Source organism: Homo sapiens, chromosome 4, assembly GCF_000001405.40.
Source record: "Homo sapiens chromosome 4, GRCh38.p14 Primary Assembly".
NCBI lineage: Eukaryota > Metazoa > Chordata > Mammalia > Primates > Hominidae > Homo > Homo sapiens.
This window is the reverse complement of record NC_000004.12, coordinates 153,579,969-153,593,035: the sequence shown is the minus strand read 5'-3', so window position 1 is coordinate 153,593,035 and position 13,067 is coordinate 153,579,969. Positions and strand designations below refer to the sequence as shown.

At 36.7% G+C, this 13,067-nt stretch overlaps 1 protein-coding gene across 42 annotated transcripts in view; it reads right to left on the bottom strand.

Annotated features, from left to right (window-relative positions):
* TMEM131L (transmembrane 131 like) overlaps positions 1–13,067 on the bottom strand; it is a 170,352-nt gene that overhangs the window by 43,676 nt on the left and 113,609 nt on the right. For 10 of the 42 annotated variants that reach the window (XM_047449899.1, XM_011531780.2, XM_047449901.1 and 7 more), the window contains exons 8-18: positions 12,133–12,210; positions 11,476–11,629; positions 9,788–9,846; positions 9,364–9,472; positions 8,105–8,201; positions 7,425–7,578; positions 6,657–6,827; positions 5,225–5,294; positions 4,029–4,146; positions 1,842–1,983; positions 452–561 (exon numbers count right to left, since the gene is read on the bottom strand). In XM_047449899.1, the coding sequence (XP_047305855.1) occupies positions 452–561; positions 1,842–1,983; positions 4,029–4,146; positions 5,225–5,294; positions 6,657–6,827; positions 7,425–7,578; positions 8,105–8,201; positions 9,364–9,472; positions 9,788–9,846; positions 11,476–11,629; positions 12,133–12,210 (1,262 nt within the window). Of the gene's footprint in view, positions 1–451; positions 562–1,841; positions 1,984–4,028; positions 4,147–5,224; positions 5,295–6,656; positions 6,828–7,424; positions 7,579–8,104; positions 8,202–9,363; positions 9,473–9,787; positions 9,847–11,475; positions 11,630–12,132; positions 12,211–13,067 lie in introns of those variants that run through there. The other 32 variants (XM_047449900.1, XM_011531781.2, XM_047449903.1 and 29 more) reach the window with 8 other exon arrangements.

The following is a 13,067-nucleotide window of genomic DNA, read 5'->3' as shown; positions in this document are numbered from 1 at the left end:
TTTCCATCAATGGTTTTAAAGGACTTGAACATCCTTGAGATTTTAGTATCCGAGGGGGTCCTGCGACCAATTCCCCTGCAGATATGGAGGGCCAATTGGACTAAAACACTAAACTTATTTATGCTGCCTAGAAATCACCATGATTGTGAGTCTAAATATTAGGAGTATATGTGAAAAAAACATGATAAAGGTTCCCTAGCTAAAGAAAAGGATCTGTTGGTTAGTGGACTTCGCATAGTAACACTGAAGATGCCACATAACACACAGAGCCAGGTAGTTCCATCAAATCACATGCACCAAGGGGCAGGATGCCCAAGGTCCATGAGCTAATCGGTTAATACTGTGTCCACATCCACACACAGGTCCTGGTTGAAAAAGTGTAGGACATTAAGTAATTCTAAGTCTTCCCAAGTACTTCCCAAACTGCCTCTCAGAAAAAAAGTCTTCATACCATCTGTGGAGCAGGTGCACTAGGGCTTCGGGTTTAGGGTACAAGGAGAGAGGCAGGAGCTGCAAGGAGACCGGCCAAGAGGACGGGTTCTGCACCACAAAGTACTTGATCTAGGTGTGAGGAAAGAAAAGTTAAAACCCCGAGAGGGACACAGCATCCCTCCTGAGATATTCTGGCCAAAAAGCATAACCTAATCATGAGGAAATATCATGTAACTCCAATCAAGAAACATCATAGGAAATAAATGGCCAGCACGCTTCAAAAATGTCTATGTCATAAAAGGCAAAGAACAGCTGGGGAAGATTAAAGGAGACTAAAAAGACCTGCCAATGAAATGAGAAATCCTGGACTGGATTCTGAACCAGAAAAAAAAAAATGCTGGAAAGTATGACAGTGGGATCTCTGAAAACACTTGATCTACATATACTGTATATATGTAGTATATATACATATATGCTGTATATATTTACTGTAGATTAAATAACAGCATCATGATTGTTGCATTTTCTGATTTTGATCATTATACTATGGTTCAGAAAAAAGCCCTCGTTCTTAAATAATTCACACTGAAAGTTAGAGGTAAGAGGGCGTAACGTCTGACACTCAGATGGCTCACAAAGATACATGTATGCAGAAAGAGAATGTTCAAGCAAGTGTGGCAAACATTAAAAATTGATGAATCTTTGCAAAAAGATTCTTTTCTTTTTGCAAGCTCCTGATTTTCTTTTTGGGAGCTCCTGATATACTACTCTTGAAACTTTTCTCTAAGTTGAAATCATTTAAAAATAAAAAGTTAAAAAACAGCCTAAGGATGTCATCCCTAAGAAAATCTATGAGCACCTGATAAGTCATACATTATAATTCATGTCACGTGTGGTATAGAGTTCTTAGCCATGAGACTTATGAGACATAAATGGAAGTCTGCTGGAGGCACGTCCTTCCCTTTGCCCAGTCTTCCCGCCACCGGAGCTGGACGAGAGAGGCACAGACAAGCACCGAAGTCAACACGCTAAGGATGGACAGTAGACAGGGAGGGGAGCCTCAGTCCCTGATGGCATCACAGAGAGCACAACCTGACTCGCTCTGGACTTCTCCCCTTTGAGCTTCTTGTTATAAAATGACTCCTAGTTAAGCTAGTCAAGATTTTCTCTGCTGTTTGCAGTTGAGTACTTTCTTAACTGACACATTTATGGAGGGTACACTCAATTCAAAGTCTATTTGTTTCCTGCATTTTCAGTCTGTTTAGAGTTTTACTGCTCATCTAGTTCTTTTGACATCGCCTTAATTTTGGCTTTGAAATGGTAGCTAAAGGTGGACACAATCTGGTACTTTGAAAACCCAAGCACTGGGGAGTCACTGACAAAGAAATGAAAAGACACACTGTCCTCACCATCCTGCTCCTAAGGGCAGTTGCGCTGAAGTTTAACATGAGGCCAGGCTCTGCGATCAAACGAGGCAAAAAGAAAACAAAGGACTCTGACTCCTTGGATTTCTTCAAGTGAGCAAATCGAGTTGTTCCCAAAACATTCCTCCTGTTTAATTGATAAAGAAACTATTATGAAAAATATTTTGATATTTAAAAATTTAATATTTAATAATTTTGTTATTTAGGGAAATCACTAAATACTATTCCCACTTAAAGGAAAAGGGCTCTTGGGGAAATGGTTTATTCTAGGTCTGGGGATGGGAAAGTACAAGATTGATCCTAGAAGGCCCTGTTTTACTAGAAAGCAAGGAAGCACTCAAACAACAGAACATGTCAAAGGGCCACACAAGCCAGCCGAAGGGCTCCTACCAGCCAAATTTGGAACAATTTATCATCAAAAATAATAGTGATGGTAAGAGAGTACAACACTGCAACTAAAGAATCAGAGTGATGCTTAAAAGCAAGAGAAACACTCTTTTAGAAAAAAAAAATCTGCCAATAAATGTAGAATGAACAAAATAATCAGAAACATCATTTTGCAGCCATTAGTCTAACAATTGATTCTGGCAAGGATTATCAATAGATACTAAAACCATGGGATAAAACATCCTTAGGGAACAGGGCGTTTATACCGTAATTTATCAAATTATCACAGCACAGATTTATTAATTACACAAGGAAAAAGGTATGTACAATGGAGAGTTCTGTCACTCATCACCTAAACCAAGCGACTCAACTCAGCAATGCCAATAATGGAACAAACTGACATTTACGTACTTCCTGATGAGATGAAATAATACAGACACAAGTTCAACCAGATAACTCATATTCTTGCCAGAAACATTTAACCAGAACATGAACTTGAGGAAACAATCAGAAAAATCCAGAGTGTGGAATGTTTTATAAAACAACTGGCCTGAACTTTTAAAAAGTATCAACATGATGAAAGATGATGAAAGGTAGGAACACTAGTCTAAAGAAAACTAAGAAAACAAGACAACCAAATGCAATGCATGGCCTTTAAATGGATTCTGGGTTAAAAGAAAAGATAAAAAAGCAGCTATAATGAACACTACTGGATCAACTAGGGAAAATTTTAACATAGACTGTATATTAAACAATATAATTACATGAATGTCAAGTTTGTTGGGTATGCAATGGTAGTATAGTTATACATAAGAAAATATTCTCTTTAGGAAATAAAGAATTTCCTAATAAAGTATTGAGAGTTGAAGTATGACATCTACAGCTCACTTTTGATGACTCGGCCAAAAGTCTGTGCGTGTATGTGTTTCTATGTGTGTGTGTACACATAGAGAAATAAAGCAAAAGTGATAAAATGTGAACATCTGGTGAACAAAATCTAGATGAGGAATATTTGAGAATTCACTGCACTACCCTCAACTTCTGAGGTTTGAAATTTGTCAAAATTAAAAGCTGGAGAGAAGTATCGATCACTAGAAACTACGGACTGTAATGTCAATAAAATACTGTGTGCAGTCGTTGGCCCTTATGCAGTTTTGCTTTCCAAAGTTTCAGTTACCTGTGGTCAACTGGGGTCTGAAAATATTAAGTGAAAAATTCCAGAAATAATTCATAACTTTTATATTACACACAGTACTGAGTAGCATGATGAAAGTTCAAGCCGCCCCACTCCATCTTGTCTGGGACATGCAAATCATCCCTCTGCCCAGCATATCCACATGGATCCCCTACCTGCCTGCTAGTCACTTAGTAGCCATCTCAGTCATCAGGTCAACTGTCCTGGCGTCACAGTGCTTTTGTTCAAGTAGCCCTTATTTGACTTAATAATGGCTTTAAAGTGCAAGAAGAGTGATGCTGACAATTCAGATATGCCAAAGAGAAGCCATAAAGTGCTTCCTTTTACCCAAAAAGGTGAAAGTTGTCGACTTAATAGAAAAAAATTGTATGCTGAGACTGCTAAGATTTACAGTAAGAATGAATCTTCTATTTGTGAAATTATGATGAAGGAAAAATAAATTCATGCATAGTATATAGGGTCTGCTACAGTTTCAGGCATCTACGGTGGGGTGAGAGGGGGGTCTTAGAATGTGTCCCCGCAGGTAAGGAGGGACTACTGTAACAGTGTCTCCCCACCACCGAACAAAAAAGAAGACAGTGGAGACGTACTTGCAGACGTCACCATTTTTATATTTCTTCCATCTTTCATACAATTTATTTGCAAGTTCAGAATCCACATTCCAGGTAGATTGATCCAGAGAAAGGCTCCCATTCCAATTAGGATTTCCTAAAAGTTAGATCAGATTCCATATTTAGATTTACAGAAAACATAATTCAATTAGTAAATAATGCCAAGGGCTTAATATTAAACTTCTTAAACTGAGAGGACTGTAGAGTTAATAAATGCCACCTCTGTCTCTGCTGCTTATTTATTAAAAGTCCCTCTAACTCAATGGCAAATGATATCAAATTAAACAAACATGTCATAAAACAAAACTAAATCGAATTATGTAAAGGTAATAACGTAAAAGACACATGGCTCATGAATACAGCCTGAAACAAAATTATACTTGGAACATTTTTAACAGCTTTAAATCTAAAATGCGAAACTCCTTCCACACACATGCTAATCATCAACGAGTCTTCCAGGTCACTATCTAGAGTGCCGAGGGAAAACAGTAGTTCTTGAAAGGGGGCACAGACCAGGAGCCGATCCTAGAGAAGATGCATGTTTATAACTGGTCTATTGTTCACCTCATTCTACCAACAGATTTGTTCTGTCTTGCTAAGGAGGGTATCAGGAAGGAGAGGTGGGAATCTTTAAAAAAAAAAAAAAAAACTATACTTTAAAACTCTCCCTAAATATCTCTATAAATCAAAAGACAAAAAAAACAAAAAAAAAAACTCAAAACAAGAAACAGCTTGTACATCAACACTAAGGCCCTTCAGTCTCAAATCACAACTAGCACCATCTGCAAGATGTTTACACTCCTATAACTTAAGTCCTCAAATACAATTCCAAGTTATTTTTACTAACTTCTAGTCAGTTCTTTCATAAAAGAATCAGAATCTTCCAATTTTTCCTATGGGTGCTGTGATGATCGAACAATGTTATTTGAAAAAAAAAAAAAAAAACCCTTGCGGAAGTACAAGCTACTAGATAATAAAGGGGCATTATTTACAGTACCCCAGGTGTTTCTGGAGGGTTCTTAACAATTTTAAGTCATTCTGTTAATGATCATCCTCTCTATAGAATATGATGCCTTTACAGAACTAATTATTCCATTGACAAATGCTAATTTTCCTCACTATTTCCCATCCCCCAAACTAGAGATCTACAGAAAGCCTAAGGGCAAAATACTTACCTGCTTTTGATTTTCCCATGAAATAATGCATGCCACAATGTGCTATCACTTCAAAACCCAGACTCCCTTCCTAGATTGAAAAGTAATATATGAATAACTTAAAACACAGCACTAAACATAAAAATTCTAATGCACTAAAATTCAAAGCAGACATTGGTCTGCACCTCAGTGAACTTCCCTTTAACCACGAGCCAAAAATTACTTTCTAATTGTTAAGGAATTTTCAGAGAAATCTGAACTGTCTCTCCCTAGGAGGGTCACTGAGTGGCTTCTGCAGGCACAATAATCAATGACAATAATGACCCTTGGGCCCACAAGACACCAAACTGCCATCTGAATTAAATAAAGATTATGATCACATGGCTGCACTGAAGCCTGGGCAACAGAGTGAGACCCTAACTGTAAAAAAAATTAAAAATTAAAAAAAAAAGATTAGATTAGTCTCAGGACATTCTCAGTGGTCAGAAGTTTTGTTTTTTTTTAATTGAACTCTAATCCTCTGGGAAACAGTATGCCAATCTATAACAACTCCTAGCTATTCAGGACATTTAATTTCCCATTTCCTACAGGTATACCTGAAACCTGCCTGCTCCTCCCACACTCTGCTGACATGCATCTCTTGAATAGAAAAAAAATTTCTAAGAAACCACCCCTGCTCAAAATATGGATAAATGGAATTAACCTTACATTGTTTAATTTTAGAATTCCTATCTGTACGCTTACAGCTAGTTAAGCATGAGGCATTTCTAACTATGAAAGATCCACACTATAAGTGAGAAAAAAAATAAAGATGGTTGCATGAATGTTGCATAGAAAAACCAGAACCCAGAGTTATACAAAATAGCTTGGAGCAAAAAGAAGCAAAAATAATAACCAAATGAAAAGAAATAAATATTAAAGAAAGAGACATATTTAAGACGGTCTAAATTAAATATAATTTACCCAGATTTTAGAAAGCATTTTCTTAACTGTGAATCTTTTCAGGCTTTATACTTGGCCCACTAAGCAAATTCAAGGATTACGAGCAACTAAGAGTCACTTAGAAGAGATCCAAATAAAGCATTTAACAATTTAATTTATTAAGTCATTGCAAGTATGTACTAAAAGCCAACCTGTGTTTTCTATAGCAAACACATACTGGTTGCTCTACAAATTTTGGAAATAAATGAAAATGACATCTATTAATCTATTGGTCATGCCTTATTTCATTCAAGAACTTCAAATTACTTTATAAAAAAGAAAACTCTTTCCAAATAAAGATTTTTATGTCTGAACAATTTATCATCCAAGACTGGCCTGGTAATATCCTTCAGTTTCTTAGCCTTAAAGAACGTGAGCTTAACCCAGTTAATAAAACTCAAGCACTAAAGGTTAATAAAAAGCAACAGTAATTAAGAAAACTGTAACACACATATAGTATTGTAGAAAATACCTTGGTTGGTGCTGAATAAATCTGTAGAGGTATTGCAAAAATGGCACCTATGTTTGTAGTCAAAAATACATTGGTGAATAGATTTATGGCAATGTCTTTAACAGCAAGTTTCAAAGAAAATATATTCCAACAGCCTGGAGGTAGAAATAAAGGGCCAGTGAAATTCAGAATCTAAAAAGAAAAGAAGCAAGAGAAATTACTTTTCCTAACACTAATTATGATTAAAATCATTATAAAGTATGATGCTAACATTCTTCTATACTTCAGAAAGTATGATTTTACTCAGTTATTTCCAGATCAAAAGTTGGAATATTTTTATAGAAATGATAGGTTACAAATAATGCTTAAGATGACACTGTTTTAAATTTCACAAAAGTAATCTTGAAATTTCAGTAAGTGATATTTTGCAAAAAACCTACTATTTTATCATGAACCAGGCTCATTTTTACTAATCTTTTTAGAACAATACATATACATAATATTTTTGAATAATGGTAAGAGCAAATAATTTTGAAAGGCTATATCCTGGTCCCTTTGAGCTCTTTTAAAAACAGTTTTTTAAAAAGAGAGAAAGAGAAGTCTCCTAAAAGTAATTCTGAAAATGTTAAAAGAAAAATACATGTTTTAAAAATCATAAAATTTTATATAAATAATAACTTCATAGCATTTGGAATATTTTTTATTATTTTATAGAAATAATTTCACAGCATCTGACCTTAAACAAAGCTTAAAATAAGCTAAAACTTGGGGAAAAAATACTATATGTACCTTTAACATGTGCTTGGTCTCCTTGGAAAGAAACACATCATTTAATACAACACTACGGTCAAAATGGTTGCGGTACCATATTGACCAAAGTCCTGATGTGTTCTCATGAGTCTCTATGTGAAACTGGGTTGCAGAAGAGTCCATTCTAAAATACCTGTGAACAGACGACATGCATGCTATCAGGCCTGAGTGTGGGACAACAGTCAGCCCTCTTATGAGCCTCTAATTGCAAAAACAGGAGCATCATAAAACGTTACTAAATGAAAGCTAGCGCCAGAGACAACCTCGGCAATCGCCTCCTTCAACCTTCTGGCTCACATAGGGAGCAACTGGAAGCCCGAGGGGAAGCAACCAGGCTGCGGCCAGCACAGCTCACAGAGGCCGCCAGGACCAAACCAGAACCTGAAGCCAACTCAGAAACACCATGTGAATATGTACTCTTTTCACACATCTGGATGCCTGATGCTGAACCTATTTCATAAACTGAATTATTTCACTTCCTTTTCCCCACTCAGCTAATATCCCTTTCACTGCCTGTTAGCAATGCTAAGGCAAGGGGAGGCAAGGCCAGTGAGAGAGAGAATCACACAAATCATATCACTATATTTTTAAACCATTTCTAGAGGGGAAAACAACAACAACAACCATACAAGATTTCAGGGAAAGTGGAAGTAACCTACCCCTGAGCCACAGAAGAGAAGAGGCATGCTTTTAGTGTTGGAGTGTGTGTTGTTTTCTTCACATCTTCTATAATTCCACTGTCACATGATGTAGCTGCTTTGTGGTATAAAGAAATAAATGTGAAGCTTAAGTACCTTTTCTTTCATTAAGCCTGAACAAAAGATATATGTCTTATTTATAAATTTTTATTCACTTTTCTGTCTCCATTAAAATAGTGAATCAGACATAAAAGGTAACTACTTTCTCAAATGTTCCTGTCATCTTCTTTGTTGCCAATTATCCAGAAGTCCATACTTTTAAAAACCAACTTCTCTACCAGAAATGACAAAAGTGAAACAAGAAGCTCACTTGGCAGAGTAAAATGTGTGGAGGCACGAGCAAGAAAGGAATAAAACCTAAAGAGCAAAAGGGAGCTGACCAGCAAAAAGTGGGCTGCATTTGAAAGCAGTGCTGATTGATCAAAATAATACTTTTAAGCTCTCCTTGATTAGGTTATAATATTGAGTCGCTTGTGTTCAATTCTTAACTCTCTGATGCTAATAACCAACTTTTTTAAAGTTATATATATGGTTTTTAAAAATTCAAACACTAACAAAAAAATGTGAAAATAAAATCTACCTTTCTTCACCCTGACTCCCAATTATCTTGGAGGAGGCAGCTGTTAGCAGTTTCTGCAACATCCTTCCAGGTGTTCTGTGCATGTATAAGTACACAGATATCCTCTAAAAAAAAATTAAATGTACACACACTGCTCGCATCGCTGTCCATGCATGTTTCTGAACACTCTCTCACATCTGAACACAGATGATCAGCTGTTCTGTCCTAACAAACACACATTTCTTATAGGTACAGTTTTGAATACATACATATCTGGAGGATAAACTCTTAAAACTAGAATTAAGGATCAAAGAGTAAATATGTGCATTTTAAATTTTCATAGAGATTTGCCAATTTTCCCTCAAAAACAGCCTGCATAGACTCCTGTCAAAAACCTAACAGTGCTTTCCTTCCTAATCGTTATCAACACAGAATATTAAGCTTTAAACTCAAAATTCTACATATGTGGCAGAATAAAAGTGGCATCAACAATAGTTTCTACATCATACTATCTTAGAACTACTAAGGCTGGGACTTCTTGAAATCAAACGCATTCCCTTCACTTTTTTGAAACCATGCCTAATCTGTAGTTGTAGAAAGAGTTGCCATCATGACAACCAGATAACAAAAGTCAAATGACAATCTGTTTAAAAATCTGTACCTTTGCAGGTAAAAGAAGCAATTTTTGTAAAGTTTGTTGTAGAAGTAGGTAGTAGTACTGGTTCAAACTGCAGAGACAGAGCATCTCTCTGTGAGAAATGGCGTATATCCTGAAATAAAAGAAAAGTCCCATGTGACTACTCTCAGCTGGGAGAGTATTTATCCAGTTTGAATGAACCGTTAGAATAAATAGCACAGACCAGCCATACATAGCAACTGCTCAGCATCTGTGCCATAACCATATGGAGGGGATGCTGACAATCTTCATACAAACAGAGGTTCAAGCAAGGGCAAATGGGCTTAAATTAAAGCAAAAAAGAATAAAGATAGTGCTTCTGTCTCTGTTCCTGAAAAACCCTCATATTCTACAATTAAATGCACACTTGCAATTTTAAAAGTTACTTTAGGTAAGCATTTACAATTACCTGTATCCATATAAGGCTGTTTCCTGAATGTAATATATACATATTTACTGCTGAATCATCTGTCCAAAAGAATCAGAGTATTAAAGCAGAGTATTTAATCAGAGATTAAAACAGAGCCATCTCATTCTCACACCTTCATATAATCATTAAAATACCACATTACACATTTCTATAAAAAATGTTAACTTGTTTCTCAAAACTGAAATCAAAACTAGGAGGTGTTTTCTTTTTTTTTTTCTTTTTTAATCACAAGAAAAAAGATCCTCATAAAAATGCCTACCAACCTAAGCCCTCTAAATGATGAGGAACTACCAGGAGCAAAATTCTGAGTTTAGGGTCACACAATGCTCTTCTGAATGAAACTAACCAACTGGACGACTTCAAATAAAGCTATGTTCTCCTGTTGATTAGAAAGCTCCTCATTTCCTCATTTGGATAACCACATTTGGAAAGAAGAAAATCCTGAGATCTCAGGTTTCAGGCTTCCTTTTAGCCCTCACCCACAGAAGTGGTCCCCATGGGTCAGGGATCTGCCCTCATAGATGTTCACTGGCCACTATGAGAATCACCAAGCACTGAGGACAGGAGAGCTCTCCTGCTGATCCAGCACTACCACAGCCAGCTCTGAAGACTGAAAGGTAAAGGCTGTTTAACCAATTAAGACTGCCAAAGCAGGGCACGGTGGCTCATGCTTGCAATCCCAGCACTTTGGGAGGCCAAGCGGGGAGGAATGCTTGAGCCCAGGAGTTCAAGACCATCCTGAGCAACACAGGGAGAACCTGTCTCTACAAAAAAAAAAAAAAAAAAAAAAAAAACAACAAAAAAAAACGGTTTAAATTAGCCAGGCATAGTGGTGTGCGCCTGTGGTCCCAGCTACTTGGGAGGCCAAGGTGGCAGGATCGCTTGAGCCCAGGAGGCTGAGGTTGCAGTGAGCCGAGATCACATCTCTGTGCTCCCACCTGGGCTACACAGCAAAATCCTGTCTAAAAAAAACAAAAACAGAAACAAAACCAAAAAACAAACAAAAAAACCCAAAGAATAAAAACCATACTTTCTTGAATATGAATACAAATATACAGTCACATTCAGAAGTCTTGATAACCAAAAGATACTAGTATACTCTACGTTAGGAATTTCATGGATCACAGAATGTGTCTCTGAAAAAAGTTCTTAGGAAGTTAAACAGATGAATGCATTTATTTCTGATAAGTAGGACACACATTTCCAAAGATAAAATTCATAAAACTGAACACTAAAATTCTACCTAACTTGTCAAGCATCCAGGAACAACCGCAACCTATTAGCTATTTAAAATACAAAACAGCATGATGTGGTTAAATGAGCTTAGGCAAATCATTAAAAGTGGAACAAGAAACCCAAGACTTCAAATACTTTGTAAATATTTATATTAAACTGTCATGCCCATTTAATTTCCTTACTGTCTCCAAACATGAAGAAAAATTATTCCTAAGGAAACTCAGAATAGTTTGCAGTTGTCACTTCTCCCCAAAATAATACAGCCTTCTTAGCAGTTGTAGGTTGAGAACCAGTTACTACTACAATCACTTAATAATTAAAGCAAAGGCTATTTGTCTTGGTTTGCTATGATACAATCTGTTCATAAATGCTATAGAATGATGATGCAGACTGATGAAAATATAATAAAATTTTTAAACATTCCACCTTACCTGAGGTCTCAGATTCATCTGTAGCTACGTAAACAATAGAGAGATGATCTAACAAATGTTGTGTGTTTTCTTCAAATTCTTTTGAAAAGTTTTCCATTGTTACCATTATGCTCATTTGTAGACGCAAAACATCATCAGATTCCAGATAACAACCCTATGGTTGGAAGGAGGAGGAAAAAAGGAAAAAAAAAATCATCTCAACTTTGTGGTTTCAAACTATGGAGGAAAGGAGAAGCATTTAACGTAATGGGACGTGTGTGAGAACAGAATATGCTGTTTTGTGTTTTATTTTATTTTATTTTATTTTGAGACGGAGTCTCACTCTGTCACCCAGGCTGGAGTGCAGTGGTGCGATCTCGGCTCACTGCAAGCTCCGCCTCCCAGGTTCACGCCATTCTCCTGCCTCAGCCTCCCAAGTAGCTGGGACTACGGGCACCCGCCAGCACGCCTGGCTAATTTTTTTGTATTTTTAGTAGAGACGGAGTTTCACCGTGTTAGCCAGGATGGTCTCAATCTCCTGACCTCGTGATCCACTCGCCTCGGCCTCCCAAAGTGCTGGGATTACAGGCATGAGCCACAGCGCCCAGCCTTGTGTTTTATTTTTAAGCAAAGAGGCAGGAGGAAAGCAGAGAGAAAACACTACACATTTTATTTTACCTTTAATTGCTGACACACTTTATTATGTAAACTGCATTCCAGTTGCACCTGCAAGAGGCTAGTATTAGTGGTTTCTGCCTAAAAGAAGAAAAAAGGAGGAAAAGAACTTTAAGTAAAAGGCTCAATCTCACACTAATAATAAACAATTTATCAAGTATTCAGAAACTACACTTTTTCATTTATTCAATAAATATCTGAGTATCTGCTAAATGCTGGGCATTATTCTTTTTAGTGGATACACAACAGTAAGCTAAACAGAGAAATCTGTTCTCAGGACTGTCACTGAGCTTACATTCTAATGAAAATCATAAGTTCTCCCTCGGGCAACATGAAAATTCCTTATTACACCTATAAGCAGGTGAATATGTTCTAAATATACACAGGAACACTGGAGTTTGGTGTTTCTGATGTTTGTTGAAAATGTTATTTAAACACAGGAATCTATTGTTATTTTAAAGTAGGTTTACAAAGTAACAAAATTCTAAGTGTGCCTTCCATCAGTACAATGACCTAGAAACCATGACCCTCAAGTTAGACCAAAAAAACAAAAAATAAAAAAAAAGAGATGTCCAAAATTCAACTGACTATCATTTTTAACAGGGAAGAGTTATGGATGAAAGAGACAAAAGCATATAAAAAGAATGCAAGACTCTGTCAAATTTAAAGATCTTAACAGCCCCTGGGATGATGTCAACACATATTTAAGAAAAGGAAAATGAAAAATCAAATCAAGGGATACAACCTTGGGTAGGAGGGTGGGGGCTACAGGCATGTGAATACAGCAAAAAGTTACTCAGTGCAGTATGTGAATCTAAAAGACATGGGCTATGAGACTTCCTCTTTCATTAAGTTTAATGTCTCTGGCATAGTGATTAGAAAAAGGTACTCCACCCGGGAGCCACAGTCCTAACATCAAATCTTGGCAAGGTAAGAAG